The sequence below is a fragment of the Homo sapiens genome, chromosome 17 (genome assembly GCF_000001405.40).
Source record: "Homo sapiens chromosome 17, GRCh38.p14 Primary Assembly".
Taxonomy (NCBI): domain Eukaryota; kingdom Metazoa; phylum Chordata; class Mammalia; order Primates; family Hominidae; genus Homo; species Homo sapiens.
Genome location: NC_000017.11, coordinates 7,884,773 through 7,912,761, shown reverse-complemented (window position 1 = coordinate 7,912,761; position 27,989 = coordinate 7,884,773). Strand labels below are relative to the sequence as shown.

At 53.2% G+C, this 27,989-nt stretch overlaps 2 protein-coding genes and 1 non-coding gene across 46 annotated transcripts in view, besides 7 other annotated features; 1 reads left to right on the top strand and 2 right to left on the bottom strand.

Moving 5' to 3' along the window:
* Positions 1 to 6: 6 nt before the first annotated feature.
* Positions 7 to 27,966, bottom strand: CHD3 (chromodomain helicase DNA binding protein 3). 44 transcript variants are annotated; one of them, XM_017024067.3, is made up of 42 exons: positions 26,429 to 26,576; positions 25,681 to 25,826; positions 23,662 to 23,688; positions 22,986 to 23,098; positions 22,021 to 22,191; positions 21,698 to 21,822; positions 19,193 to 19,476; positions 18,827 to 18,957; positions 18,497 to 18,647; positions 18,154 to 18,347; positions 17,612 to 17,845; positions 17,220 to 17,423; positions 15,468 to 15,679; positions 14,660 to 14,791; positions 14,167 to 14,266; positions 13,560 to 13,751; positions 13,219 to 13,419; positions 12,729 to 12,866; positions 12,351 to 12,472; positions 12,031 to 12,204; positions 11,769 to 11,910; positions 11,387 to 11,518; positions 10,035 to 10,152; positions 9,701 to 9,825; positions 9,259 to 9,490; positions 8,771 to 8,937; positions 8,143 to 8,320; positions 7,597 to 7,662; positions 7,056 to 7,141; positions 6,773 to 6,906; positions 6,065 to 6,209; positions 5,731 to 5,893; positions 5,515 to 5,636; positions 5,274 to 5,409; positions 5,060 to 5,161; positions 4,743 to 4,871; positions 4,252 to 4,360; positions 3,933 to 4,065; positions 3,378 to 3,619; positions 2,171 to 2,334; positions 1,789 to 1,915; positions 7 to 1,298 (listed from the first exon to the last, which is right to left on the bottom strand). In XM_017024067.3, the coding sequence occupies exons 2-42, from the start codon at positions 25,718 to 25,720 to the stop codon at positions 1,058 to 1,060; spliced, it is 6,138 nt and encodes a 2,045-aa protein (XP_016879556.1). In that variant the 5' UTR covers positions 25,721 to 25,826; positions 26,429 to 26,576; the 3' UTR covers positions 7 to 1,057. The 44 variants fall into 44 exon arrangements, with proteins under 44 accessions (XP_016879556.1, XP_047291153.1, XP_047291166.1 ...); XM_047435197.1 differs by having other exon boundaries at positions 25,681 to 25,733; XM_047435210.1 differs by lacking the exons at positions 23,662 to 23,688; positions 26,429 to 26,576 and adding an exon at positions 27,333 to 27,420 and having other exon boundaries at positions 3,424 to 3,619; positions 18,497 to 18,635.
* SCARNA21 (small Cajal body-specific RNA 21) lies at positions 6,502 to 6,639 on the bottom strand. The gene has a single exon (NR_003000.1).
* Positions 8,857 to 9,463: an enhancer, noted in NCBI's record as "NANOG-H3K4me1 hESC enhancer chr17:7806617-7807223 (GRCh37/hg19 assembly coordinates)". NCBI's record gives its function as "activates a minimal SCP1, AML or CMV promoter by ChIP-STARR-seq in naive and primed H9 embryonic stem cells {active_cell/tissue: H9 hESC(naive and primed)}" and the evidence as "EXISTENCE:reporter gene assay evidence [ECO:0000049][PMID:30033119]".
* Positions 9,464 to 10,071: an enhancer, noted in NCBI's record as "NANOG-H3K4me1 hESC enhancer chr17:7806009-7806616 (GRCh37/hg19 assembly coordinates)". NCBI's record gives its function as "activates a minimal SCP1, AML or CMV promoter by ChIP-STARR-seq in primed H9 embryonic stem cells {active_cell/tissue: H9 hESC(primed)}" and the evidence as "EXISTENCE:reporter gene assay evidence [ECO:0000049][PMID:30033119]".
* Positions 17,815 to 19,014: an enhancer, noted in NCBI's record as "CDK7 strongly-dependent group 2 enhancer chr17:7797066-7798265 (GRCh37/hg19 assembly coordinates)". NCBI's record gives its function as "activates an origin of replication core promoter dependent on BRD2, BRD4, P300/CBP, MED14 and CDK7 cofactors, with strong dependence on CDK7, by STARR-seq in HCT116 cells {active_cell/tissue: HCT116}" and the evidence as "EXISTENCE:reporter gene assay evidence [ECO:0000049][PMID:35650434]".
* Positions 22,972 to 23,541: an enhancer, noted in NCBI's record as "H3K4me1 hESC enhancer chr17:7792539-7793108 (GRCh37/hg19 assembly coordinates)". NCBI's record gives its function as "activates a minimal SCP1, AML or CMV promoter by ChIP-STARR-seq in primed H9 embryonic stem cells {active_cell/tissue: H9 hESC(primed)}" and the evidence as "EXISTENCE:reporter gene assay evidence [ECO:0000049][PMID:30033119]".
* Positions 24,951 to 25,110: a silencer, noted in NCBI's record as "silent region_8147". NCBI's record gives its function as "represses an Ori minimal core promoter by ATAC-STARR-seq in GM12878 lymphoblastoid cells {active_cell/tissue: GM12878}" and the evidence as "EXISTENCE:reporter gene assay evidence [ECO:0000049][PMID:35858748]".
* Positions 26,861 to 26,910: an enhancer, noted in NCBI's record as "active region_11653". NCBI's record gives its function as "activates an Ori minimal core promoter by ATAC-STARR-seq in GM12878 lymphoblastoid cells {active_cell/tissue: GM12878}" and the evidence as "EXISTENCE:reporter gene assay evidence [ECO:0000049][PMID:35858748]".
* Positions 27,161 to 27,240: a silencer, noted in NCBI's record as "silent region_8146". NCBI's record gives its function as "represses an Ori minimal core promoter by ATAC-STARR-seq in GM12878 lymphoblastoid cells {active_cell/tissue: GM12878}" and the evidence as "EXISTENCE:reporter gene assay evidence [ECO:0000049][PMID:35858748]".
* Positions 27,342 to 27,989, top strand: part of NAA38 (N-alpha-acetyltransferase 38, NatC auxiliary subunit) — a 28,736-nt gene continuing 28,088 nt past the window's right edge. Inside the window, exon 1 of the mRNA NM_001330111.2 lies at positions 27,342 to 27,597. The gene's annotated coding sequence lies outside the window, so the exon portion shown is untranslated. The remainder of the gene's footprint in view (positions 27,598 to 27,989) is intronic.

Here is a 27,989-nt window from a genome sequence, read left to right as displayed (position 1 = left end):
CACACAGAAAGGAAAGTATAATTTATATGTACAACCAATAAACCTGATACAGAAGAGGGGATCAGGACAGACCAGGAGTGGGTGTGAAGAGAGACTGGGAAAGGGGCAGCAAGAAAGTGAAGGGGCAGCAAAGAGGAAGTGGGGGGTTCGCCATGCAAACTGCCACTCTCCCCGGCCCCTCCTGGGAGGGGGGATGTGCCCACATTTCCCTAGCCTGCCCTCCACTATTTTGCTCTGGTCCCAACGACAAGGTAGCTCCCAAGACCCTGACTAGGTCCCCTGCCTGACTTATACAAATTTAGTCTGTATCCAGGCCTTGAGGAGGGAGGGTAGTAGAAGTCTTCCAGGAACCTGAGCCCCAGAGCTGGGCTTCCACCACATCTGGCCCATTGTATTCTCTCCCACCCTTCTAGGTTACCTGGGTCCCTAGAACAGGTTGGGGAGCTCCTCTTTGGCTTGAGGGAGTATCACCCAACCATTACTCTTTTTGTAGGGGTGGTCCTTGGTCCCTAGGGAGGGGGGAACATTCCCAACACAAGATGCCGGTACACAGGAGGTAACTGAGCCAGTGAACGGCACCTTTATTCTGAGGCTGAACAGCAGTTGACTTCCTCCCTCATAACTGCTCCACCCTCCACGTGGGGAGAGGTAGGGGACGGTAACATGCAGCCACCCCTCCTCGTCCCTTCCTCCCTCCCAGGGCTCATTTTCATCCCTCTCTAAAGTCCCCCTCCTCTCTTCAAAGCTCTCTTCCCCACAAAAGTTCCTAAAGGCCAGGCAAGGCTGATTCTCCACTTCCACATGAGACAGAGCTGATTCTGCAGGGAAACGGCTGGGGAGGCTCCACCTCTTTCCTCCCCACAACCATTTACTGGGAAGTTGTGTATACTTGGCAGTGTGGGAGGAAGGTACTTGGAAGACCCTGCCAGCCATCTCCCACCCAGACTTCTTCTCACCAGCACAGTCTTCAAGGCTTGGTGGGAAAGGTGTGTGGGAGTGGAGAAAGACAAAGGGCCCTTCTTGAAGAGAGGAGCTGCAGAGAGGGGCAAAGGGGTTCCTAGCCCAGTGATGGCCCAAGGGGTGGGGAAGGTGGAGGGCTGGCAGCAGGCCCCAGCGCTTGAGCTGGGGGTCGGCCTCGGGGACGGGGCCTGGGTGAAGGGCAGGCCTGGGATCCAGTCAGTCGTCTATACAGATCACCTCCCCGGCTCGGGGCTCCTTCCGATCCAGCCCGTCTGACACCAATGCCCCCACCATTTCCTTCTCCTTCTTCACAAGCACTGGAGGGCCGTTGGTGGCGGCTGTTTGGGAAAGGGGTAAGGAAAGATCAATCTCCAGATCACTCTCAAACGTCACTTCATGACAATGGTGAATTCTCACTTCTAGGTCACCTCCTGCCACTTCCCGTTGTCCCACGTGAGGGAGGGAAGACCCGGGCAAACCCCTTTCCCTGAGATTCCACTTTGTGCTACATGATTGAACACATGTTCCCACTCTCTAACCCCTCGGGTTTCATATTCACTTTCCCTTGAAGGAACCCGGAGGGAGGTGGCTCGGGTAGAAGACACCAAGCCACAGATCTACTAAAACTCTGGTTTTTAATAAAGGGGACTGAAGAGGGGTTAAGAAAGGGATGGGTGGGGGGACAGCCTAGAACAACTCTATCCCATAAAACACCGGATACCACCAAGGAAATGAGATGGACTAGAGCAGTTAAAGGGCAGCTGAGCAGAAATAAAGTTTGGCAAAGGAGGAGTGTGAGTAGCAGGGGGTAGGAAAACACCAGCTGACCTGTGATGAAGGACCCTGCAGGCATCTGGCTGTAATTGGCGCCTGCGGCGGCCAGGGCCCCTACGGGTGCGGCGCTGAAGGCCGCCCCGTACCCCGGAGGTGTAGCGTAGGGACCCGGCGGGTAGGCCTGGAACAGAGAGGAAGCAGAAGTTGGAGTTAGTTCATAGTCTGTGAGAGGAAAGAAGCTGTAGGAGAGACATTATGAGCCACACTCCACAACTGCTAAGGGTAGGATACACAGGCAGGGAGACTCACTCAAGGGTGATGACTGTGTTCTAGCAAGTTGTTTTTCCATATTGTATAGGATTCTGATGGAAGTGTTTGTATGTGTGCAGGAGGAACACAAACAGGGAAAACTGGAGCTAGGGGGAAAGAGGGTTACCGGTGTGGGGTGAGGCTCCGTGCCCTTGCTGGCCAGCCGGCTGAGGATGCTGCGCTCGGACATCTGAAGGCGGGCTGCGATGGGGGGTATTCGGGACAGCGTGGCTGGCAGGCGGGTCACGTCCGCCTTCATGTCGCTCAGCAACTCCTCCAGCTGGTTCAGAACTGGGGCCCGGGCCACAGAGAAAGAAGGGCAAGAGAAAGACAGGGAAATACAGAGATGGAGCCAGGAAAAGAGAGGCATCAGATGGACAGATACAGGCAGAAAAAGAGCGAGAGAGGAGAACACAGATGTCAAAGAACCAGAGATCAAGAAAGTAAAAGAAGTAGATGGAAAACAGAAGCAACTCAGGGGAAAAGAAAAAGTGTCAGGAAAAGAGACAGAGAGACCAGATTACCACAGAAGACAGATGGAGAGAAAGAAGAAAGAAAAAGGGAGCATGGAGGAAAGGAAGATGGGGGGACATTGGAAGACATGGGGGCGGGGAGTTGTCAGAACATCTCATACTGGAAGAGCAAGGTTTGGGGTTGGGGATGATGGGGAGGAAATAGTCAGGAGGCATGGGAGGTGGTAAGTGTCAAAGCTTTAAGGAATCACGGTTTTAATATGTAAGGGGAGAGGGAGGTTAGAAGGTCAGTATTACAGATTCAAGGAATTAGAACAGGGATCAAAGGGGCCAGGAGTCAGTGACTACACCAGGCAGGATTAGATGGTTAGAGGGCTTTGGGATATAATCTCTATCAATGGCAAGGTGAGAGGGGGTAGGAGGAAAGGTCGAAGGTCAAAGGGAAGTTTCATGGGGTAAGGCCAGAGGGTTGGATGGGTGGTAGTTTCTGCCTTATGGGGTGAAACACATGTGAGGGAATGTGATTTGTTTGATCACAGCCAGGGATCTGTATGGTGCATTCACAGTCCAAGGCCCCTAACTGGATGATGTTAAGCAGTATGGCAGGCATGCAGTTCCACTGCCAGTGAAGAGGCCCCACTGTGTGGAGGGGACACAGAGGCTGGGGCAGGTCCCTCTATTGGGCACGGATGTGAATGCTATCAGACATGGATGAGGGTTGGCTTGCACAAGTCCTAGAGGCTAAAATCCAAGGGGGTGCCAGGTCGGTAGGAGTGGGGTTAGAGGTCAGAGGGGGATGGTTCAGCAGGTAGAGGGGTCAGGGGGTGGGAAGATTTTGAGGGGTGCGGGGTGAAGACTTACGCAGCGTTGTGGGCCCTCCCCCGCGCGGGGCCGCCGCGGCCCTTACCCTTGTGCAGGACGGCGTTGGCCGGCTTGTTCCCCGCCAGCGACTCCTTGGAGAGGTGCTGGTGGCTCTCGGCCAGGCACTCGGCCTCGGCGAAGCGGGCGTGGAGGGCCATGGCGGGGTGCGCCGGCTCCTGCGACAGGTTCAGGTAGGCCGCCCGCCGCAGCTGCTCCTCAATCACCAGCGCCTGCTCCAGGAGCTGAGGGCACAGAGTTGGGAGGTGAAGGTAGGGCTCTGCCAGCAGTGGGTGAGGGGCTGGGGGGGCGGACATAGCAAGAGACCCACCCTGCCCTCACTGCTGGCCCAGGGCACTCCCAGCTCCAAACCGACTGCGAACCTAGCAGCAACCCTGACCCAGATCACACTCCCAAGCACAAGGTTACACTTTGGTCTTGGCCCCAGGTATCACCTCAGCCCTGAAGGTGTTAACCTTCCCTAGGTTCCAACTAGATCTGGTCTCACTTCTGACCCAAGCCCGTCTATAACCCGCTCCTTTCCTCCCTCATTCCCACCTTGAACCTCCGGGCCAGGAACTTATTTTTCATCTCCAGAAAGTTCCCCTTATTGGCTTCAGTTTTAAATGGCTCGTTGATAATGGCAAATTGAGCATCATTCTGGATGTCCTGCCACCGTGCATAGCCATGGCTACCAATGAAGGAAAAGGAACCATCAAGGAATTTAACAGGAATGGGCTTGGCTTTGAACACTTCTTCCTTTTGGCTTGACTCCCCAAAGTGTGGCACTAGCCCTGTCCCTGGGTGTGAAATCATCTTTTTTTTTTTTGCCAGCTTGAGAGAACCTTTTCCTTCTTGCATGTGTATCAAAGGATACAGGACAATCCCAGCCAGAAGCCAATAGTCATGTCTTCTGTGCCAGATCTCATTGAGTTTCCCCGAGGAAATAGCTGCCCGTTCCTCATTCTGCCACAGTGTGTGAAGCTCTGCAAAGAAGGCAGCAGACAGAAGAGGTAACAGGGTTTTGCAGACTGCACTCAGTCCAACAGACAGGTAGAGATGGAGAAACTGAATAATGAAAGGGAACTAAGGGCTCCTGAAGAGGAATGGGTAAAGGTTAGGTTTGGAACAAACTCAGTTCTAACCAGGTTCGTTAGAATTAAGAATAAAGGTGGGATTAGGGCCAGCTTTGGAGTTAAGAGGGATACTTAAGAAAGATTTAGAGCAAGGATCGGAGTCAGCATGCAACATACTTCATTGGAAGTTACTTGGAATTAAAGGTAGCAGGAAGCCTCAGGCAAAACGAGAAACCCCATGAGGATGAGCAGATCCCCTTGAGGAGCAGAAAGCAGCGAGAGTCTCCCCAACCTGTGAAGCCACCATCGGCGATATTGAACATGAACCGGGGCTTCTCTGTCTTTTCCTCTCGTCGCCCATTGGACCGTGGCTCATCTCGAGGCCCTGGTCGAAGCTCCCGGTCACCTTTTACATCTTCTGCTAGGACAGACAGGTCAAAGCTCACACCTCAGGACACCCTCCTCCCAGGTCCCAAGACTACTATCTGTACTGTACTGTACTGGCCTTTCAAACAGCTACCCGCCCAGGACCCAAGCATTCGGTTCCCCAGACTCCACCTCCCCTGATGCCCTCTGGGACCCAGGTGTCCGGTCCCTTCCACCCATTACCTCTCTTGCCCAAATCCCCTGTTTCCCCCTCCGGCCTCTCCCTGTGTTCCTGTCCATCCAACGGCTTCTCCTCCCCCCTTTCTCCTGGCGTCGACTCTGTGGCTGTGGGAGGGGGTAGGGGATAGGAAGGGAGGATGTTACCCTCATCCCCTGACCCCAGAAGAGGGAAATCCCAAATTCTAATCCCCCATCACTCCTAAGGCCATGCACCCACCTGACTTCTCTCTGTCCCCACGGTACCCAGGTTCAGGCTCCATCTCTCCAGGCACCCCTGGCACCTCATCCTCTAGAGGAATCTTCCTTGGCTCCAGCCGCTCCCCAAGTGATGGGGCTGGGCTGGGGGCATCAGCCTGGAAGAGGACAATGGGGTCAGGATGAGCCAGAGGGCTCCCAGGTACCTGGCCTCCAAGCCCCCTCCCCTCCCGCTCCACAGGGGAATCCAGGGAGCCACACACCTCTGTCTCCATCTTCTCCCCAATTCTGCTGTTCTTCTCTGGCTTTTCCTCCTGGTTTTCAGCTTCCTCCTTCTCAAGAGGTGTCCTTATGCCTTCTCCTTTCTCACTTGGAGCTGGAGTAGCTGCAGGGGAAGGCACAGTGATAAAGACAGAGATTCTCCCGCCCTGACTCCTGGCTCCCTTTCTGTCTCTCCCACCATCCTGACTTCTGATTACCAGGTTTAGAGGTGCAGGGACTGTTGGTAGCAGAAGCCTCAGGAGTGGTGGGAGACGTTTTGGTAGGAGAGGAGGCTCTGGAGGAGCGCTTAGAATCGGCGCTGGGGTCAGGCATCAGTTCCGGCATTGACCAACGCCCATTGATGTGCTCAAACTCCTGCACCTGGGGTGGCAGGGTGGGAGGGTTAGGTGTCAGCTCCAGGCGCTTACAGACAGGAAGCTCCAGTCTCCTCCGTCTCACACCAGCGCAAGCTTACAACTCAGGGACAGAGGCAGAGGAAGGACAGAGACTAGGCAGCCAGCTTGATTCTTTGGGTGACAGGAAGACTGATACCTTCTTTTTGACGAGAGACATGACTCCAATGCGGGTCAACACCTGCTGGCGACTCAGTCCCTCCCGAGGGACCCCATCGGCAAAGGTTTCAGAGCCGTCTGCCCCAGGCTCACACAGATGGCGCATGAACAAAGACACATAGGCCCTAAGGAGCATGGGAGTGGGAGGAGGGTTAGGGGAGCCACAGAAGGGGTATAGGGCAGTGAGGGAGGCGCGAGGATGACTGAGGACCCCCAAACCCCCAAATCCCCAGGTGCTCCAGGGCTCCTCCCCTGGGCCTCTCACTCTCACCATTACCAGCCCTCCAAGTCCTAACTGTCCCCCTGCGCCCCACCCCTGGGTCTTTCCCTTTGGCCTTGGTACTTAATTCCTGGGCCCCATCAGTCAGCTCTTCATCCTTTCCACCAGCTCCTCCTGCCAGGTTATTGTGGTCAAGTAAATGTGAGGCTAGGACAGCCCAGGAGAGGCTCCTTGCTTCAACGCCCCTCCCCTGGGGAGGATGCCTGGCCCCTCTACTCTAGGCTCGGCTGAGGGGAGGTGGAGTGGGCTGAGACCACCCCCCAGGAAATCGAGCCAGGAAGTATTGTATGACAGGGAGGGTGATAATCAGTTGAGTAAGGTCACATCATATGGCGGCCCCAAGGAAGAAAGGAACACCCAAAGCTCTTCCCCTTGCGTCCAACTCAGCCCTGTATCACCCACACTCACTTAAACTCCTTCTCAGTCTTGCCCCTCAGGTCCCGCACCAGCCACTGTGTGGTGAAGGCATCCTGTGGTGGCATCCCCCAGCGCATCACAGCATTGAGGAAAGCCTTCCGCTGACGGGTGTTGAAGCCCAGCACCTGAGGGTGGGAGCAAGGAGGCAATGGCGACAAATGTCTAGGGTTCTTAGGTCTTGTCCTTTCTACCTTCAGTGATCCAGGCACCAACTTCCAACCTCCTGCCCTCATGCCCTCTTGGAGAACTCAGGAACACTGGGCCCAGCTCTCACCTCAATGTTGCCCCCGACTCGGGCCAGCAGTGGAGGCAGTGGCTTATCTTTCTCATTCCGGAGCTGCCTCTTTGACTGTCTACGCCCTGAGGGTGGGGATGACATCAGTTAGCTGAGCCACCACCTCCTCTAAGCCTCAGTCCTCCTTAGCACCCCATTCCCACAAGATACACAACACAGGAACATTCCTGTCACGTTTGAGGTGCTCCCAATTCTCTCCCAAGCACTTCAGAACTACTAACCCACTAAGTCTAAAAGAACCAGTCATATTTTAAAATTAACAGCTGATATCTGACAAAGGCCCAGATTACCAGTGGGAATGGAAAATGATATGGCCTTTCTGGATCTAGCCTATGTGGTCACACACACCGAAGTTTACTAGCAGAGAGACTATGAATATTTCTTCCTTTCTGCTCATCTGCAATCGAGTTTTTCCACACACACACGAAGACTTTTTTACTTGTATAAAAACAGTGGGCTTAAAGCAAACTGGAAAATAAAACGGGAAGAGGTGAGGTAGAGTCAGGAACACAGATGCCACCTTCAGGACGTTCATCGAAGTCTTCATCCTCCTCCTCTGAACCCACCGAGTACTCTGACTGGTTGTCTGTGGGGGTGGAAAGGGCCCAGTGGTCAGGGAGGGCTCTCGGGATATGCCCATGCTGAGGCCCTTTCTGGCTGGATTCCTCCCTGCCGAGACTTGTCTACCTTTATTCTGGCCTTGGTCCTTCTGGGAACACCAGATCACTGCCCAAAGTCTGACTTGGGAGCCGCATATCCTACACCATCTCCATTCACCGCCCACCTTCAGTCTCTGGGCCCCTCTGCTTCTCCTGCAAAACCTACTCTAAGCAATGGCCCTGGGTGTCCACAGGATGCCTGTGCAACCACCGAAGAGTTTAAATCTCCTGCAAACCCACCTGGCCTCTGGGTAGTTCCTAATGACTCTACCTTATGTCTTTCCCTTTTAGCAGAGGAAGGCTCTGACTTCTAGGCTTCTCTCTTTCCCTCTAAATAGCTCCAGCCTTCAAGTCCCTACTCATCATCACTTCCCCCCTTTACTGCCTGCATCTGGGGCAGTCCTCACCTTGGTCTTCCTGAGCAGCATCATTGTAGTTAACTTGCTTGCGAACCCGCTTGCCCTTGCCTAGATTCCGGGCTAGGTCTTCCTGCTGTTGCTCATAGTGATGCCTCAGCAGCTTCTCCCAGTAGTCAGGGTCCACATTCTCCTCCTGCTTGATGATCTCTCGCTCAATTTCCTCAATCTGAAGGGCAACAGAATGAATGAACACTGGGGGTCTCCTTCTTTGCTAATCCTTCCACTGCAAGGAAATCCCTACTCTGCTGCGTCAGCCCAATCCGGTCTCCCCACTCCTGCAGCTTCGTGGCTCTGCATACATTTTCTGGACATTGCGCATGTTCCATGCCATCTCTTACCTGCAATGTGCTCTCCTCATGTTTTCTAAATCTCTCCTCTAATCCCTCTGACAGTGTTTCTCCTGCACTGTCTCAGAAGGTACCCTTCTGTGTTTACCAGTACTGTCTGTGCCTACGTTTCTCTCTGAAGTCCAGTCTCACCTATTAGACGAAGAAGTTGTTTGAGGTCCACTACTGTTTTAAGGGGGACAGACCCTCCTACTTCAAGGCTGAGTAAAGGATACTGCCTTTTGGAGATGGCCTGGGATAGATAATGTCTGGCCCCCAAAGCCTCTCACCTTGTCTTCTTCCCGCACGACGTACTGTGCCACCTTGAAGGAGCTGAGATACTCATTCATGTTCTGCACGTCAGTGTCCTCAGTTGCATCCTGGTTCCGGTCCAACAGCCGAGCGATGGCCTCATTGTCATAATGAATCACACTGCTGTCCTCCTCCTTGTTCTCCCCTGGTGAGAGGGAAAACAAACGGGAACTTTGGGTTCCAAAGTTTAGAAAGGCTGATGGGAAAGCTTCTACTCTGCGTCCTTTTCACAGGAGCCCTAGAGAAGGCTTTTTCCCCGGGAGCCAATGTTGAAAGGTTTTTGTTTTGTTTGTTTTAACCCTACAGGCAAAGAAAGAGGCCAACCTTCCTCCAAGGGCTACTAAAAGAAGGCTCTCCTTCCTTCAAAGGCTGCAGAGAAGAGTTGTTTTTCTCTCCCCAGGGGGCTGATAAGTACTCCTGAGAGAGCAGGGGCCTGCTTTCACAGAGCTGCAGAAAAGGTTCTCACCCTCGTTTTCATCCTTGAATAGCTCTTCAGTGCCAAATTTGAGAATGTCGTCAAGCTCCTGCTTGGACATGGAGCCTGCCTTGGAGCCCAGCCCAGGCCGCACAACCAGGTGTGTCAGCATCATCTTTCTCTTGGCCACTTGTGTGATTCGCTCTTCCACTGACGCGCGAGTCACAAACCGGTAAATCATCACTTTGTTGGCCTGGCCAATCCGATGAGCCCGGCTAAAGGCCTGCAGGGGCAAGAGAAAGTGGCGGGTGGGTCAGGGGAGTGGCCGGGGAGAAGCTGCCCATAGAGCTGCCTCAGGAAAGAAGGCTGCTGAAGAAGGGCCTTCTCTCCTCCCAGAAGAGATTTATTTCTGACCCCGGAACATGACACCCTCCTCCATGAACCCACATCTCCTTGCTAAATGGTGCAGGGGTTCTAGGATGCGAGTTCCCACCTGGATGTCATTATGGGGGTTCCAGTCAGAATCAAAGATGATGACAGTGTCAGCAGTGGCCAGATTGATGCCCAGGCCCCCAGCTCGGGTGGACAGGAGGAAGCAGAATTGTTGGGCCCCAGGAGCTAGGAGGTGAGAGTTGGATCAGGTTTTTCTTGTACCCGGTAGTTCTGTCCACCTGCTCCTAGATGTTCTCTGATGACAAACAACCATGCCCCCAACTCAAAGCCTAAGTTTCCAATGTCCCCCAAGCCAGTCCCCCTCCCATCCCAGGGACCTATCACAGGTTTCTCAGGCCTCCCACACCCACCAGGGACCAGTGTATCTCCCTCACCATTAAACCGATCGATGGCCTCCTGCCTCAGGGCACCCGTGATACCACCATCGATGCGCTCATACTTGTAGCCTTCATAGTCTAAGAAGTCCTCAAGCAAGTCTAACATTTTGGTCATCTAGAGCAAGAGAAAAGGATGGAGTCTGCAATAATGAGGTGGTGGGATGCTTGCTTATTCTAACTACTCCTTTACACAAACTCAACCCTAATCTTTACACCTGAACCCCTGCCCTGTCTTAAGCTCCTCATTATTCCACCTTCTTGTCACACTCTCTTTTCTTATTTTTATTTATTTTTATTTTTTTTTGAGATGGAGTCTCATTCTGTTGCCCTAGCTGGAGTGCAGTGGTGCCATCTCTGCTCACTGCAACCTCCACTCCTGGGTTCAAGTGATCCTACCGCCTCAGCCTCCCTAGTAGCTGGGACTACAGGTGTGCGCCACCACGCCCAGCTAATTTTTGTATTTTAAGTAGAGACAGGGTTTCACCATGTTGGCCAGGCTGGTCTTGAAACTCCTGACCTCAAGTGATCTTCCTGCCTCGGCCTCCCAAAGTGCTGGGATTACAGGTGTGAGCCACCACGTCTGGCCCTCTTGTCACACTCTCTTGATTTAAGATTGTTTCTCCTAAGGCAGAGGTTCTCTGAGACCCATGAAAAGGTTTCAGGGAAATCCAGGAACCCCCTGAAAATCCGTACAAAATTGTGTCATTGTATGTGCAGTTTTCTGGTGAGTAGACCCAGAGCTTTCATCACATTTCCAAAGGGTCTGTGCCCTTCACCCTCACCTGCCAATAAGATGAAGAAATAATACCAGTCCCTAAGGAGGCAGATGGCTCACCCTCCCCCTTCCCTCATGCAGCTGAAAAGGAACTAGAGCTGGACCTCAACTTCCAGCAACCTTAAGAACAGGCATCAGAGGCCAAGAATGAACTTGCTATACAGTAATCCCAGCACTTTGGGAGACCGAGGCGGGCAGATCACCTGAGGTCAGGTGATGGAGACCATCCTGACCAACATGGTGAAATCCCGTCTCTACTAAAAATACAAAAATTAGCTAGGCATGGTGGTGCACGCCTGTAATCCCAGCTACTTGGGAGGCTGAGGCAGGAGAATCACTTGAACCCAGGAAGCAGAGGTTGCAGTGAGCCGAGATCGTGCCACTGCACTCCAGCCTGGGCAATAAGAGCGAAACTCTGTCTCAAAAAAAAAAAAAAAAAAAAAAACTCTTACAGGAGGAATCTCCTCATTTGTCACACCAGAGCAGCCACAGGAAGACCGTAAGAAATTAAAGTCTGGAGGATGAGGAGAGGGAAGAGGAAGCAGATGTAAAGACAGCTAAGGGCACAGGTCACCTGCGAGAAGATGAGCACTCGGTGTCCTTGCTCCTTCAGCTTTCGCAGCATCTTCTGGAGCAGCATGAGCTTCCCAGACGACTTAATAAGTGCCCCACCCTCATAAGCCCCACTGGGGAGTTTGGGGGACTCCTGAAAAGGGAGGAGAGAGGAGGAGGAGGGGGTCAGTTGGAAACATGCCCCCATATTCTTGCCACACCTAGAAGGCCAGATGCCCGGATCCAGCTTCCACATGTTCCCAATTCCTCCTGTTCTCAGACACCCAGTCCGTGGCCTTCCAGCCCAGCTCCACCCCTGTGGCTCAATACCCACCTCCCCACTACTCCCCACCCATGTTTTCTGAGAATGGGCGTTCGATCAGCTCCCTGCTCTGTGTATCTACCATAGCAGCCACGGGAAAAAGGTATGGATGGTTGCAGCACTTCTTAAGATCCATCATGATATTAAGCAGCGACACCTGGTTCCCACCACCTCGTGAATTCAAGGCCTCAAAATTTCGAGTCAGGATGTATTTGTAGTATTTCCTAAAGGCCAGGAAAGGGGTGTAAAAGAAACATAAATAAAGGAAGCAATTATGATATTGCACTTGGAACGCTCCCATCAATCCCCAAGCCCTACTCCAGGCAGCTCGTCTTGCATCTTACTTCTGCATGGGGCTTAGCTCCACCCGAACGATGAGCTCTGTCTTGGCTGGCATGTTCTTAAAGACATCTGCCTTGAGTCTCCGCAGCATGTGTGGCCCCAGCAAATCATGCAGTTTCTTGATCTGGTCCTCTTTGGATATGTCAGCAAACTCCTCCAGGAAGCCCTCCAAGTTGCTAAGAGCCAGAAGAGAAGAAAATTAACAGGTCGGCAAGTTCCTTGCCCCTGATCTCAGACTTACCACCTCAGATTAATCCTCTACCAGCTCATTTTATCTGCTCCACCTCTCATCTCTGCCAACTACCCTTAGGGAACCACTTACTTAAATCTCTCTGGGGTGAGGAAGTTCAGGAGATGGAAGAGCTCCTCCAGATTATTCTGCAATGGGGTTCCTGTCAGCAGCAACTTATGATCTATCTTGTAACCATTGAGAACCCTGAAAAACTAAAAGATGGGGCAAGGCAAGGCAGGAAAATGGGCTTATTAGTGACAAGTGACCGACCCACAGCATCAGCCTTTCCCTGCCCCAGCTCCCATTTCACTCAGGATCAGAGGCCCCAAATCTCTGGCCCTCTCCCTCTTCCAACCTGGACGTCCTCCCAGACTACAGAAAATCCCCAGAATTTTTGTTGTTTTTTAGGACCAAGGCAAGTGGGAAGTCCACAACTTCAAGTTTTTTAGGTCTGGAAACCTCACTCACCTTGGACTGGTTGTTCTTGAGTCGATGGGCCTCATCTACCACAAGACAGGCCCAGCGGATGGAACCAAGTGCTGCCTGATCAATGGTGATCAGCTCATACGATGTCAGGAGAACATGGAACTTCACCTGTGCCTCCCTCTGCCAACATAATTATTGCCCATTCAGCTGCCACCTGACAACCATGCACCTACACCTCCAGAACCAGACACCTTGTCCTGACTGTGGCTCCCAACAGGAGCCATTACTCTGTTCTCCAAGCAGGGATTACAGACCATGGCTCCTAAACCTCTGCCCACATTTCCAGTACCGACAGATCCATGTATGCCCCTGGGAGTACCTGCCATATCTCTAGGATGGTAGTGCAGAGACAGGAGGACAGGTGGAGGAAGAGGAGAAAGGTGAGGAGGGGAATAGAGAAACTGAATTCCTGGCTGAGAAAAAGAAGTGACAGCTTTGAGGGTCTCAGAGGATATGAGGTAGAGGGTCTTACCTTCATCTTAAAAGCTTTCTTGCCCCCTTTGATGGCATTGTCCTCAAAGGAGAATTCATTCTCACGAATGATGGCCCGGCTGTCCTTGTCACCCGTGTATGTCACCACATAGAATTTGGGTGCCCACATCTGGAACTCCCGCTCCCAGTTAATGATGGTAGAGAGTGGGGCACTCACCAGGAAGGGACCTTTTGTGTGGCCCTGGGAGTCAAGAATGGGGGCAGCATAAGTCTAGGCTAGAGGCCGTATACCCTAGTCCTCTGCCAGCTACACCCCTTTATCTTCCCCCTCCCCACTTCCCCAGTCCAGGCGGTCCCCTTCAAGGTCCTAGAATCCAGCACCTCCTTGTAGAGTGAGTAGAGGAAGACGATGGTTTGTATGGTCTTGCCTAGCCCCATCTCATCAGCTAGAATGGTGTCAGTGCCCTGGGCCCAGGAGAAGCGTAGCCAGTTCAGCCCTTCCAACTGATACATGTGCAGGGTGCCTCCAGTGGCTGTGATAAACCGTGGCTGAGTCTCATATTTCACGGTAGGCTATAGAGACAAGAAGTCAGAAAGCTCAAGGAAATAGTCGGCGGCTCCTCCAGTCTTAGTCTCTTCCTCCCTGGCATGGATACCAAGTTGGATTACAATTCCCTCTACTATGGCCTGAGTTTACAAAAGTTCTCACATCTAGTCTTCAGCCCCTCCCCCTCATTCCTTAAGACAATATCCAGCAGCACCATGGGGAAGGGCCAGCTGGTGACAGAGCCACCAGTGGGCTATCTCTAGTGGCTCCTGCCCTTTCAGGCCAAAATTCTTAGCCACTCTTGGGGCAAGACTGGATGCTGAAGGAAGAGCTACTGTTCACAGAGGTTACTGAATCTCTGGGAAGTTCCATCAGTAGCCCTTGGAAAATCTTCGATCACCATCACTCCAGAAACAAGAAATGACAACTGAGAGGACTCACATCATTAGTGGGAGAACTGGGAGGCCCATCACCCTGTAGCTCCTTCTTCTTCTTCTTATACTTGCGGGGCTGGGCAGGGTCTTCCCCCATAATTAGTTCTCTGGAAAAAGAGTGGGTCTGAATGAGGCCTCATCCTTGGGAGTCCTACGCTTTCTTTTCTGAACCCATTCCAGACCTACTTCCCACTGTCCATGACCTAGATTTTCCCATATTTCCTTTTTCCCAGGCTCTTTACCCTTGCCCTTTGGATTTCACCTCAAGAGCCAGCCCTCCCCACTCTTGAACATCCTCTTCTCCACTACTCAGCCAGATCTTGTTTCTGTTCCTTACACTACCTCTTTAGCAAGCCTATCTCAAACAACCCAGCTCAGGTGGCCATTGCCCTGAACTCCAGGTTGAATCAGGCCCTACTGTACCCTCATTTTATGCTGGAGTTTTGGCTTTCATGCCCTCATCGTCAGAATCCCTTGAATCCACAAGCTCATTCCCTCACCGGTGTCTCCAGTAGCTTTGCTTATGTTCTTCGTATTCAGGGATATTCATTTCATCTTCCTCCCACGTGGACTGGTCATATGGTAAGTCCCTCCATTTTACTAGATAGTGGTAATTCCCCTTTTTATCCACACTGTGGGGCAGGAGGCCATGGGGAGGAGCAGGAGGAAAATATTGCACAGATCACAAACAGAAAGAAGGCCTGAGAAACGCAATTATCAGCAAACACACAAAATTTGTCACCCAACCGTCAACAGTGAGCTGCTGGAAGGGAGATTGGAATAGTTGACCTAGCAGCCTAACCTTCTCAGGATGGTATCCTAAAAATCAGCTATCACAAAACATTCCTGGAGATCCCTCCTTATCATTTGTTCACCTAATCACTAAGTATTTTCCTCATGGAACTCAGAGTCTCGTGGGGAAGGCAGCATTGAAATAACTAAATACATACCATTAAGTTTAGGCAGTAATAAGTACTATGAAGAAGAAACATTCAAAACACTGGTCTGGATGAATTATGTCTCTCATGTTTTGCTTTCATGCCCTCATCCCCAGACTCATGTGCTATGTCTTATGCCACTGGAGATGACAGGAGGCAAAGGACAAAAGAGGCACTGCCTGGCCGGATTTTCCTCCTGTTTTCTCCCGTTCCCCTGGAGGAAACAAGGCCAGAAAGGCTGGAGCTACAGCAGAGGTTATCAAGGTTAGATCAATTACCTGGTTAATCAGCAAATACTAACATGGGGCCATCACCATGGTAAGAATAATGTCATATACCAGGTCTGACTTCCCAGGGACCGAGGATTCACCTGTGGTTGATGATGCGGTGGACGGTCATCCACTCTGGCTTGATGCCAAAACGATAGTACTTCTCCTCCATCTCAGCATAGTGCGGGTCTTTCACTTTACGCTTGTCGCTCTTCCCATCATCCTCGCCGGAGCCATAGTCCAGGGGTGGGGGCTCATCCATGTCATTCTTCCGCTGGTAGTTTCGATACATAACCAAATGGAAGATTTCCAGCTAGCAGGGCACAGAAAAAAGGGAAAGAGATAGTCCTGACACTCACAGAGGACAACAAGGAACCGGGAAGAGGCCGGCAGGAGGAATGGGACAGGGAAAGGGAGCTATGAAAAAGGATGGATTGGCCCAGGCACGGTGGCTCATGCCTGTAATCCCAGTGCTTTAGGAGGCTCAGGCGGGTGGATCACCTGAGGTCAGGAGTTCAAGACCAGCCTGGCCAACATGGCGAAACCCCGTCTCTACTAAAAATACAGAAATTAGCCAGGTGTGGTGGCGCACGCCTGTAATCCCAGATACTCAGGAGGCTGAGGCAGGAGAATCGCTTGAATGCATGAGGCGGAGGTTGCAGCGAGCCAAGATCACACCACTGCACTCCAGCCGGGGCAATAAGAGAATAACAGGCGCGTCCCAGCACTTTGGGAGGCAGAGGCAGGTGGATCACCTGAGGTTGGGAGTTCGAGACCAGCCTGATCAACATGGAGAAACCCCGTCTCTACTAAAAATACAAAATTAGCCAAGCGTGGTGGCGCATGCCTGTAATCCCAGCTACTTGAGTGGCTGAGGCAGGAGAATCGCTTGAACCCAGGAGGCAGAGGTTGCAGTAAGCCAAGATCGTGCCACTGCACTCCAGCCTAGGCAACAAGAGCGAAACTCCATCTAAAAAAAAAAAAAAATAGAAAAAAAAAGAAAAAGGATGGATTAGAGATAAATGAGTCAAAGCCAAGACGGAGAATAAATAAAATGAAACAGATGCAACAGTTTCAGAAGACAAGGCCTGGGTGGGGCTCTTACAAGCAAGAGATAGGGAATGGGATTAGAAACATTGAGAATTTTTTTTTTTTTTTTTTTTTTTTTGAGATAGAGTGTCGCTCTGTCGCCCAGGCTGAAGTGCAGGGACACGATCTTGGCTCACTGCAAGCTCCGCCTCCCGGGTTCACGCCATTCTCCTGTCTCAGCCTCCTGAGTAGCTGGGACTACAGGTGCCTGCCACCACGCCCAGCTAATTTTTTTGTATTTTTAGTAGAGATGGGGTTTCACCATGTTAGCCAGGATAGTCTCGATCTCCTGACCTCAGGTGATCCGCCCACCTCGGCCTCCCAAAGTACTGGGATTACAGGCGTGAGCCACCACACCCAGCCGAGAATTTTTTTTTAAACAGAGATGGGGTTTCACTATGTTGCCCAGGCTGGTCTCAAGCAATCCTCCTGCCTTGGCCTCCCAAAGTGCTAGGATTATAGGTGTGAGCCACCATGCCCAGCCAGGAATATTATAAAACATGGAAAAAGACAGATAAGGAAGGACATGAAGTTAGGAAAGGCTATGCTATATCTGAGGGAAGGAAGCTAACGGAGACTGAGAGAAAGAGGACTGTAGACCAAAAGAACCACATATGGAAACTAAGCAAGTAGGGTATGAAGGCCACAGGCCTGAAATGAGAGAAAACAAAGAGTATGGGAACCCAACAAACAGAGGAGTAAGAGAGGGAGAGGATGGCAGGAAATGAGGTCATGGGGGAGAGGGAAAGAAAAGGTCCTAGTACCTGAAGCTCCTTGGCCCAGGAGCAGTGCCAGTAGGATAGTCCTACCCACTTGACAAAGAACTCTCGCTCTGATCTGCCTTGAAGAGGACGGGGGGGTGGGACATCTGGATTTCCATCTGCCTGTTGAGGGGCTGGCACTGCTACAGGTGGCTCCCCCCACCGCCAATGTAGGATCTTCTGCACTCGACCCTTCAGCACGGGGCACTTTGGGATGGACACGTACAAGGAGGAGGAAAGAAAGAGGCAGAAAGAACCCATTGTTAGATGAGAAGATAGGGGTCCCACAAGGGTGGGGGAGTGCAGAGAAATGAAAAGCTGGACATGTGGGCCCCAGGGATGGGGGAAGGGATCAGGCCTGACAGTAAATACAGAGGGGAGATGTTTCCACTCACTGTGCATCGGGGACACAGCCATTCACCATTGGGAATGTCAGGCAGGGGAGGGTTTAGACAATGAATGTGGTAGGAGGAGATGCACGCGTCACAGCACAGGAGCTCCCCGCCGTCCTTGCATACGCGGCAGTACTCCATGTGATCATCCTCCTCCTCCTTCTCCCCTTCTTCCTCTCCCTCCTCTTCGTATTCTTCTTCTTCCTCCTTGGCCTCCCACTGGACCCCCTCCTTCTCCTAGGGGGCCAAGGATAGACACACAGACAGATGGAAGAAATTAAGGAATGAAACTGGAAGATACAGGCAAAGACAGGACACCTGAATCCTAGAAGTGCAGAGAAGACTGGTGGGAACTAAGGAAAAGGACACTCCAGTTTCAGAAATGTTGATTGTGGGAGAAAGGAATACATTAGGATCCTAGACACTCGGACATCTGTTACTAAGAAGTCCAGCCATCTGGGGGCAGGAAGAGGGTAAGTGAAACCAAGGGGGAAAGAGATGGGTGGGTTCCTCAGGGCCATCAGATGCTGGCATTAGGTACTCACACAGTGAGGGCAGCTCCATTTGCCCTCTGGAGCCCGGTCAAGCTCAGGATCAAGGCAGACGAGGTGGTAGGCACGAGGGCAGGTGTCACACAGAATAATTTCCCCACCCTGCTGGCACACCTCACAGTAATCCTGGTGATCCGTCTCGTAGCCATCAACCTCCTCCTCCCCGGCCACTGCAGGACAGCCCAGGACTGTCATATACCCCGGTGGAGGGATAAGGAAGCAGGGCAGGGGGAGATGGAGAGAGAGAGGGAGAAGGGTTGAAGAGAGAAGTCAAAATTGAAAATAAGAATGAGAGGACGGCCCACTGACAGGATCACACACAGTCAACACTCCTTACCCTTCTTCTTCTTCCTTCCTGGCCGGCCTCTCTTTAGTTTCTTGGTGCGGACAGGGCCATCAGGCCGGCCTGAGGCACTGTGGACACTGCCACTGTCCAGGTCTGATTCCTCAGCCTCTGGTTCAGGACCTTCGTCGCTCTGAAAAACATACTGCCCATAGCCCCGTGGCCGTCAGTGAGGCAGACTTCATTCTACGCCCTCCCCAGGCCTTTGGCTTCCTGTTCCGCCATCCCTCACGGATCCCTGTCTCTGGATCCTTGGCCCTCACGGATCCCTGTCTCTGGATCCTTGGCCCCCAGGTGTTTAGTAGACAGGGACGGGTCACTCACCGAGCCTCCTTTCTTCCTCTTGCCACCCAGAAGCCCTAGTTTTATTTTGAGTGGTGCCATTTTCTTTCCCCGAAGCTTCTTGCGTCCATCAGGCACTCGGGGGCTCTTACTCCGCCTCTTATGGCCTGGACCTGAATGAGGAGTCGGGGTGAGAAGAGGAAAAAGGAGAGGTCATGACATCCTGGAATTATGGAGGTCACAGGGGCCTCTGGATTCCTCTGTGGGCTGTGGTTTCACTAAGCCCCACTTCCTGGAAAGCATCTCTCCTCCAGCAATCAGGGCTGGGAAGGCGAGAGTTCCAGACTCTAATGTGAAGACATGCAGTTTGGAAGGTGAGATGACAGTTGTTGGAAGAGAGTTCCCTACCTTTGCCCTCTTTGGTTTTGGCTCTTCGGATGGGTGGGGGCTGGATATCAGCAGCAGGGGGTGGTGGAAGGGCGGGGGGTCCGGAGGGTGCTATGGGGGTGGCCGACGAGACAGCAGCTGACACCTGCTCAGCTACAGCTGCTGCTGCTGCTGCCGCTGCCGCCGCCACAGCAGCTGCTGACCCCTTGAAGGGGTTGTTGGCACTGAACTCTCTCCATTTGGCCCCAAGGATGGTCATCATCTTAGACATTGGGATCTTAGGATTCTTCTTAGCAATTAGGGGCCTGTAAATATAGAAGCAGAAAACTCGGACCCTTCACAGATGGTCTGGGAACACTGCCATCTCCCCTCATCAATTAAATCTATGTACATGCTAGGATTCCTGGGTGGTGAGAATATGTCCTATTAGGAAAAACAGCCATTTAAAAAAATAAATAAAAAGAAGTTTAAAAAAAGCGGGGAAAGAACAGGTTTAAAAAAGCATTAAAAAAGAAATACAGGCCAGGCACGGTGGCTCATGCCTGTAATTCCAGGCTGAAGCAGGAGGATTGCTTGAGCCCAGGGCTATGAGATAAGCCTGGGCAACAAAGTGAGATCCTGTCTCTACAAAAAATTAAAATAAAAAAAAATAATTAGCTGGGTGTGGCAGCACCTGAGGCTGAGGCAGGAGGGTGGCTTGAGCCCAGGAGTTGGAGGATATAGTGAGCTATGATCACACCACTGCAGTGCAGCCTGGGTGACAGAATGAGACCCTGTCTTTAAAAAAAGGGAAATAGGCTGGGCGCAGTGGCTCACGCCTGTAATCCCAGTACTTTGGGAGGCCAAGGTGGGAGGATCACGAGGTCAAGAGATGGAGACCATCCTGGCCAACATGGCGAAACCCCGTCTCTACTAAAAATACAAAAATTAGCTGGGTGTAGTGGTGCGCACCTGTAGTCTCAGCTACTCGGGAGGCTGAGGCAGAAAAATTGCTTGAACCTGGGAGGCAGAGGTTGCAGTGAGCCAAGATTGCGCCACTACACTCCAGCCTGGCGACAGAGTGAGATTCCATCTCAAAAAAAAAAAAAAAAAAAGGGGAAATAAAAAACAGCGAAATAAAACTTAAAAGCATAAAAGGTTAAAATAAAATCAACAAAAATGCTTTACTTTTGTATACTACTTTACAGTTCATAAAACCCTTTCACATACATTCCACCTTATCTTGTCCTCACAATAATACTCTTGAGTTGCTATGATTCTCTGCATTTTACTAGTAAGTTCCATGGGCCCTGAAGATGGGCTTCCGTAGGACGGAGTGTGAAAGAGTCAGACCATGCTGGTTCTGCTCTGGGGTGGGGTGCTCAACTCTTGTGCGGACACGGGTGATCCATGGTGCTGAGAAAAGCCCCAAGTTCAGCAGTAAGGTAGGTGAGACAACGTTACTAATGACAGTCACCAGTTACTGAATGCTCCCTAGGAGCCAGGCACTGACGGTACTGTGCTTTCCATTCATTATCCCACCAAACCCACACAGATTCCTATGAGGTATATATTATTATTCCCCGTTTATAGAAGAGGAAATTGAGGATTGAAGAAGTTCAGTCACTTGCCCAAAATGTAACCAGATGTGAACCTCAGCAGCTGCCTCCAGAGCACTGAACTGATATGTTAAAGTGCCTTCTCCCCAAAACAAAATACATCGGCACTATTTTTTCTTTTTTTTTTTTTGAGACGGAGTTTCGCTTGTTGCCCAGGCTAGAGCATAGCAGTGGTGTGATCTCGGCTCACTACAACCTTTGCCTCCCGGGTTCAAGCGATTCTCCTGCCTTAGCCTCCCGAGTAGCTGGGATTACAGGCATGTGCCACCACGCCCAGCTAATTTTTTTGTATTTAGTAGAGACGGGGTTTCACCATGTTGGATGGGCTGGTCCTGAACTCCTGACCTCAGGCGATCCACCTGCCTTGGCCTCCCAAAGTGCTTGGATTACAGGCATGAGCCACTGCACCTGGCCCATCTCTGCTATTTTCTACTCTACTATTCTCTACTTTTCTTCAGGAGCCACTGAAGCTCAGGTCCCACTGCCAGCAGTGGACCCTCCATTATTACCAGGGCCTAAGGAAGGGGCACAGGACCTGCTAAGTGAGCTAAGGAAGTTCAGGAACACTGATGGTATCTCTCAGGTCCAGTCTAGAGAGAAGTCACAGAGCAGAAGATGGAGCTGTTGGGGCAGGGGAGGGCTCACTATATTCTGTCCTCACTTTATTCTGTTGCTAAAGAGTTCTCTAACCCAGCACTGGAATCATGATGGCCCCTCCACCCCTCGCCCCTCAGTGAAGAGTTCTCAACTGGGGTTCTTGGATCCTTATGAGTCTAGGAGTTCCCTGAAATGACGTGTAGAATTTGGTGTGTATACACCGTGAATTCTCTGGAGAGCAGTTTCATAGCTTTCATCAGATTCCAAGGGGTCCAGGACCTCCCTCAAATTAAAAGTGTCAATTAGCGAGGATTCCCCAGTCTTACCGCACCTCATGAACTGGCTGAAGGCTTTGTAGTTGGTGAGCGTGTGGTAATCCTCCTCAGAGAACACATGCTCCACATCCTCCAGGCCCCAGGTCAGAAGCAGAGTTGCTGATGACTTCTGTTCCACTTGCTGCGGGAGAGGGGCTTTGGTGAAGTAGGTGCTCCTCCAGCCCCTATTCCAGGCCGCACACAGGCCTGTCTACCTACCCACTAGCTTCCCTGGGCTTTCTTGCTTCTTGCCCCATTCTCCAGTCCAGTCTCCATTCCTCCCCTCCTCATGCCCGTCTTTAATGCAGATTTCTCACTCTCATTCCCTAATTCTACTCACCTTTTGCCCCCCATCTCCCTCCCCCTTTTTCCGCCGCTTTGTCTTCTTCTCCTTTTTTTCTCGGTGCTTCCTTCTTCGTTTCCGACCCGGTCCGGTTCCATATTCACTGCCCCCACTCTCTGACTTCTCCCGGTACTCATCTCGCTCAGAACCAAATTCCTCCTCACTGTCCTAAGAGAAAGAAATAAAAATAACATTTATTCATCCCTACCATTGCCAGAAACTGTTCTCAGCACATACCATATCTTACCTCTTTTAATCTTCACAACAATCCTGTGATAGTAACTAATTTTTTATCTCCTTTTTTTTTTTGGAGATGGAGTCTTGCTCTGTCACCCATGCTGGAGTGCACTGACGTGATCTCGGCTCACTGCAACCTCCACCTCCCGGGTTCAAGCGATTCTCCTGCCTCAGCCTCCTGTGTAGCTGGGATTACAGACGTACCACCGCGCCCGGCTGATTTTTGTATTTTTAGTAGAGACGGAGTTTCACCACATTGGCCAGGCTTGTCGCGAACTCCTGACCTCAAATGATCTACCCGGCTCAGCCTCCCAAAGTGCTGGGATTACAGGCGTGAGCCACTGCAACCGGCCTTTATCTACTTTTTACAGATGAGGAAACTAAGGCACAGAGAGCCAAATAAACGGCCTGGTATCCTAGACAGAGGAATGCTGGACTCTTGAATTCATACAGTCTTCCAGAGCTTGTGCTTTCAACTGCTTCTCTTTGCTGCTGAGGACACACTGACAACGAGGCTCTTCACTAGGTTGCAGTGAATGAAGTTAGGGTCCCAGATCCCTGAGATACAGGCCAACAGTGGCAGGGAAGTGGGGGGCCCGGGGGATCAAGCCTCCCTGGCTTCAGAACCCCACCCCCACACCAGTAATCAGGACCAGAGAAAATGTAGGTCTCTGAGAATGGGTCTCTTGAGCCTTGCCACAGAGTTAGGAATTCTTGACACTTACACGCTTCTTGCGTTTTCGGGGTTTTCCTGGCTTGTTCTCCTTCTGCTTCTTGGGTCCTCGTTTTCTCTTCTTCACACCCAATGCTGACGGCAGCAGCCGAATGTCATCCTTATCTTTGAAGCAAAAAGCATCAGAAAACCTAAGCCTCTAGGTTTCCAGCCTCTGAGGCCCCTCAACTTGCCCCTTCCCCACCTCGGCAGTTCCCACTCTCTAGGAAGCATTAACTCCTCCAAGCCCTGCCTCCCTTCACTGGATGCAAACAGAAAGTGTTTCGAGTACTCTGGGATGCTCTGGTTCTGAATGGGAGGTCAGGGGTCAGAAGAGAAGAGCAGCCAAACCACTCCCCTCCCTCCCCTCCTACTAACAAGAGACCAGGCTCCAGGCCATGGGCTCTGACTGTGGCAGGTCCTTTCAGTCACCGCCAGGGCTCCTCCTGCCTTCCCCCTCACTTCGCCAGCTGGCATCCTGCCCAGGAACTGGGGAAGCCATGCCCAGCTGCTGGCCTGGCCTGACCCCAGCACTTGGAGTGGGGAGACACAAGCTGGCAGCTCCCTAAGCCAGATGCTGGGGAGGGAGAGCCAAAGGTGGACACCTGGGTTCTCACACTAACACCCTGGGGCCCTGACATCCTTTTGCCAAGAGGGAGGCCTCTATTTACATTTCCTCGGATAATTACCAGGCATCCTGTCACCCCAACACAGTCCTGGAGGAAAAGAAATCCTCAGCTGGTCATTTTTACTTCTTGCCCACAGGATCACAGTGTCTGCCGCCTTCATCACACAGGAGAAAGTCTCCACAATTACCTAAATATTCCTCCTCCCAAGTAGCCTAAAACCTACCTTCAATTCTATTCCCATCTCCCTGCTCCCTTTGGGAACTAGGGGGCCATACCCTTTGTTTCCCGATCTCACCCTTCACCTCCATATTTTGTTCCAGATATCCTGACCCATTCATCTATACGCAGTATGGGAGACCCAAACAAAGATATAGGCACAGACAGACACACCCAGCATATGCCTTCTCAAAAGCACGCGCGCGCACGCGCGCACCCACACCCACACACACTCTCAGGCCCACAAATCCAGAGGATGGCCTGTACCTGCTTCAGCAGGGATAGGTCCCTGGCTTTCTCCCCAGATGTCTCTGCCAGAGGACCCCAGGCCCCCCACCCCATTATCTGTGAAGGTGTCACTCTGTGAAGGCTTGGGGAACGGAACGGAGAGTTACCCCACATAAAGGAAGACAGGATGCCCCACAGACCTGGGGCCCTGGGGCTCTGGTTCACGTCCCTCCCCTACCAAGCACTAGACTAACCAGCCAGACCTGTCTAGTACAGAGAGAGGCAGCCGATGCAAGATGGGAAAGCCTGGGCTTGGCCCAGCCCCTAGCTCTAGGACACACAATCCTTTCTCCTTCCCTCAACAGCCAACGGAAAATTAGCCACAATTAACACCAGAGGCCTCCGTTTCCACTGCCTCAGAGTCGCTGCCTCGCCTTCCTTCAGTGCCACCTTTCCTGCTAACTCCAGCATCCTGTGTCCCCTTGTGCAGGAAGACACTCTAGGACTGTGTGCGTGTGTGCAGGGGGGTGGCTGCCAGAGCCCGGGTGTGAAACGGAATGGGGACTGTAATAGGAAGTCAGCAAGGAAGGCGCCATGCCCCAGCAGCCGGCTCCCCCTGGCCCCAGGGACTTCGGTTGACTTGAACATGGAAACGCAGGCTGCCGAGGCAGTGGCAAGGGCAGGCCAACTGGCTAAGGTTCAGGGACACGGCCTCGGCCACCACCAGCCAGGGGTGGTGCACAAGCCGGTTCACTCTACTCCCCACCCCAGCGGGAGGTTCCCGAACTTGGGCAGGCGTCGGTGGCGGGAGAGGCAAAGCGAGAACGGCAAGGAAAAGCAAGGAAGGGTAATAAAGCAAATCTAAGTCCCAACCTCGGTCTCAGCAGCCACTCAATGCTGGCCTGGAGCCCAGACTCTCCCACATCCCCGGCTCGGATCTCAGGGAGGCAGGGAGGAGAGAGGCGGGGGCCGGAGGGCGCAGGGCGGAGCCTGGCCGCCCGAGCAAGCGGGAGGAGTCTCGGCCGAAGCCTCGCCTCCCGCCCGCCCCTCTCTTCTTCTAATCTCACCATCAATCTCTCACACATATATTTATTTTTTCTCAAATTCCCCTCCCTCCCCCACAACGCACCACCATAATAGGTCTGCTGCACATGCGTACTGCAGGCAGGGGGTGGGTTTGTATTTTCAGACCTTTTGCAAAGAAACTACCAGAATTTTCCGCACCACCCACAATCATTCCCCACCCCCACCCCCAAGGAATCACATCTATATATTATGTTATATTATTTCTCTCGACTTGCCAGAAGGGGGAGGGAGAAGAAATGAGTTTTTGGCTTCCTGCTCCCTTCCCCCACCAACACGACTGCTATTATTTTAAACGTTTAACAATGTAAGGAGACTGGAGAGAGGGGGAAGGGATAAAATTGGTCTTGAGTAAGAATGTAAAACAAAATGGTGAGAATCAAAGCAGTCGGAATGGAAAACAATGGAAATCTCTCCTGTGCACAAATGCATACTCTAGACAAGGAAGAGCGAGGGCAGCCTGAACAAATTTCCTTAGAGGAGGGTTCTTTTCCCCACACTTAGGTAGACAGAAATAATGAGTGTGCTAAAAATAATTTCCCGAAGTTTTACCTCCGAAAGTCATCTGAGGGGGTGTATCTGGGTCACTCATTCGACTTGGAGGGCTGAAAGGGAGATAAAAATTGCCCAGGGGGAGAGGGGAGGTGGGTTTTCATTTCAGTTGTAAAATGTAAGCAGCCTCTGACGTCTCTTCTGGTCTATTCAGAAAGCCAAGAGGGAAAGGGGAGGCCGGGTTGACACAAAGACCCATCTCAACCTCGGATCCTTTCACGCTTCTCTCCCCAACGTACCCAGATCCGGGACCCACACCACCCCACCCCAGACTCCAAGTCCCAATACAAATAGGTGAGCGCTGCCAAGCCCCTGGCAGGACCTGACGGCCTTTCTTTCCCTCTTTTCAGCGCCTCTGCCGGAGGCAACCCCAAAGGCACCCTCTCCCCACAACTCCTCATTCCTCCTCCTCCTGCCAAGGCAGGGGGCTCTCTGGGAGAACTTTTTCAAAACTTTACCCTTTTTCAGACAAGCTTGGGGGGCGGGGAGACTTTATCCAGTTTCCAGGAGACACACATCCCTCCCCGACCCACAAGAAAGCACCCCCCGCTCCCCCAAAGGTCGTCTCGGCTAGACAGGAACGTTTGCCACAGAAGCCACACGGATCAATATGACAGTTTTACAAAGAGCCCGGAGTTGGCCGTTTTGAAGTTTGGTGCATTTGTGCCGCATGGCAGCCAGAGGCCCGGGGGTGCGGAGGTCCCCCTGCTGTTCCCCAAGCAGGGGGTGTGGACACCCAGATGCTCACCTATCCCAAAGAAGACTAGAAATCACTCCACTAGGAGGGTGGTCTGAGGGGGACACCGCTGGGCGCCTGACGCGGCGCAGCGGTCTGGAGAGCGCCGCCCAGAGAGTGCCGCCGGGTGACTTGTCACCTCGGGGGACGGGTGCTGAGTGATGGTCAAGCTGCAGAACAGCTGGGTGGGCAGTTCACGCCCCCCAACGTGCTCAGGGAGTGGGTGGTTTCAGCGAGAGAGTGAGTGACAGTGAATGGCAGCCACGTGAGAGTCACAGCTGGGCAGCTTGGCCACCCCAGACTGACGGGGTCAAGAGGGGGACCCCCCCCACCGCACTTGACACAAAAGAGCCCAGAGCCCCGGCGAGATGAAGGGGGTGGAGCCGGGGGTATCTGGTTCCCCAGACACTCTTCTCTCCGCTCCCCAATCCGAATGGACTGCTGTCCCTGCACAGGCTGGGGGAGCGAGGGGACGAGCTCCTGCCTTATTCCAGGAAGTGGTCTGCGTGGACTGTGGCCACCACCTGCCCCTACTCATCAGCAGCCCACAAACATTCACAAGACCCCTCCCTCGCGTGCCACCGCATGCCCCTCAGTTGGCGGGCACCTAAGTCTCCGCGGGTGGAGGGGGGTCCGATGGACACCGTCCCCACTCTGCCTGTCCAAGTCCTGAGCGGAGGGGGCAGGCCCGTCGGCTGCTCCGTGCGGGGAAACCCCACTCTCCCTCGGTCCAACCCCACCGGGGCCAGAGCCCGAGGGGCGCTCGCGCGGCCGCCCCTCCCCCACGTGCCCCTCCCCCACGCCGCCGTCCGGCCGCCAGGGTCTCGGCGGTCCCTCGCTCGGCCAGGGAGGGGGCCCTGGCTTCGCCTTGGCCGTTTCCTGCCTACCCCCTCCCCGCCGAGGGTAAAAAAAAAACCTCCTCCTCCTCCTCCCCCGAAAGCCGCGACCGAGTGGCCCGGTCCGCGCGCGCAGCTCGCGCCCAGCGCTCTCCAGCCGGGGTGGCGGCGGCGGCGGCGGCGGCGGCGGCGGCGGCGGCGGGGGAGGGGTGCGGCGGGGGAGGGGAGGAGGCCTGGCCCCGCGGTCGCAGCCGCCACCGCCCGCCCCGACCTCCCGGACCGCCGCGGGGCCACGGGCCCGAGCCCCGGATTCGCGCTCCGGATTCGCCTCGGCTCGGCCGCGCGGTGGGTGCCTCGCCCCCGCCCGGCTTCGCGCGCCCGCGGCTCCCACTCGGGCTTGGGGGGGGAGTCGGGGCGGGCGCTTACCTGGCGGCGGGGGCGGCGGCGGCGGGGGCAGCGGTGGCGGCGGCGGCGGCGGCGGCGGGAAGAGGTGGCAGCCGGGGGGGCTGTGGCGGTCGCGGCCCCGGTCGTGGCCCGGCCCGCGCCCGAGTACTCCCTCGTCGTCGTCCTCCTCATCGTCCTCGTCGGCCGCCTCCACCTCCTCCTCCTCCTCCTCGTCGCCCTCTTCTTCCTCCTCTTCTTCCTCCTCCGACACCACCATCTCCTCCTCCTCCTCCTCCTCGTCCCTCAGAGGGGAAGCCATCCTGTGGCTCTGGCCCCCCCACCACCCCCCCACC

What these genes read in the sequence shown, in the direction of transcription:
- CHD3 (XM_005256427.5), bottom strand. Translation starts at nt 27,955, where the DNA reads ATGGCTTCCCCTCTGAGGGACGAGGAGGAGGAGGAGGAGGAGATGGTG. An exon ending in CAAAGCTACTGGAGACACCG is followed by an intron (nt 14,267 to 14,659) that starts GTGAGGGAATGA and finishes CTCTTTTTCCAG; the next exon opens with AGAACTAATTATGGGGGAAG. An exon ending in ACCCCCATAATGACATCCAG is followed by an intron (nt 9,491 to 9,700) that starts GTGGGAACTCGC and finishes TTGCCCCTGCAG; the next exon opens with GCCTTTAGCCGGGCTCATCG.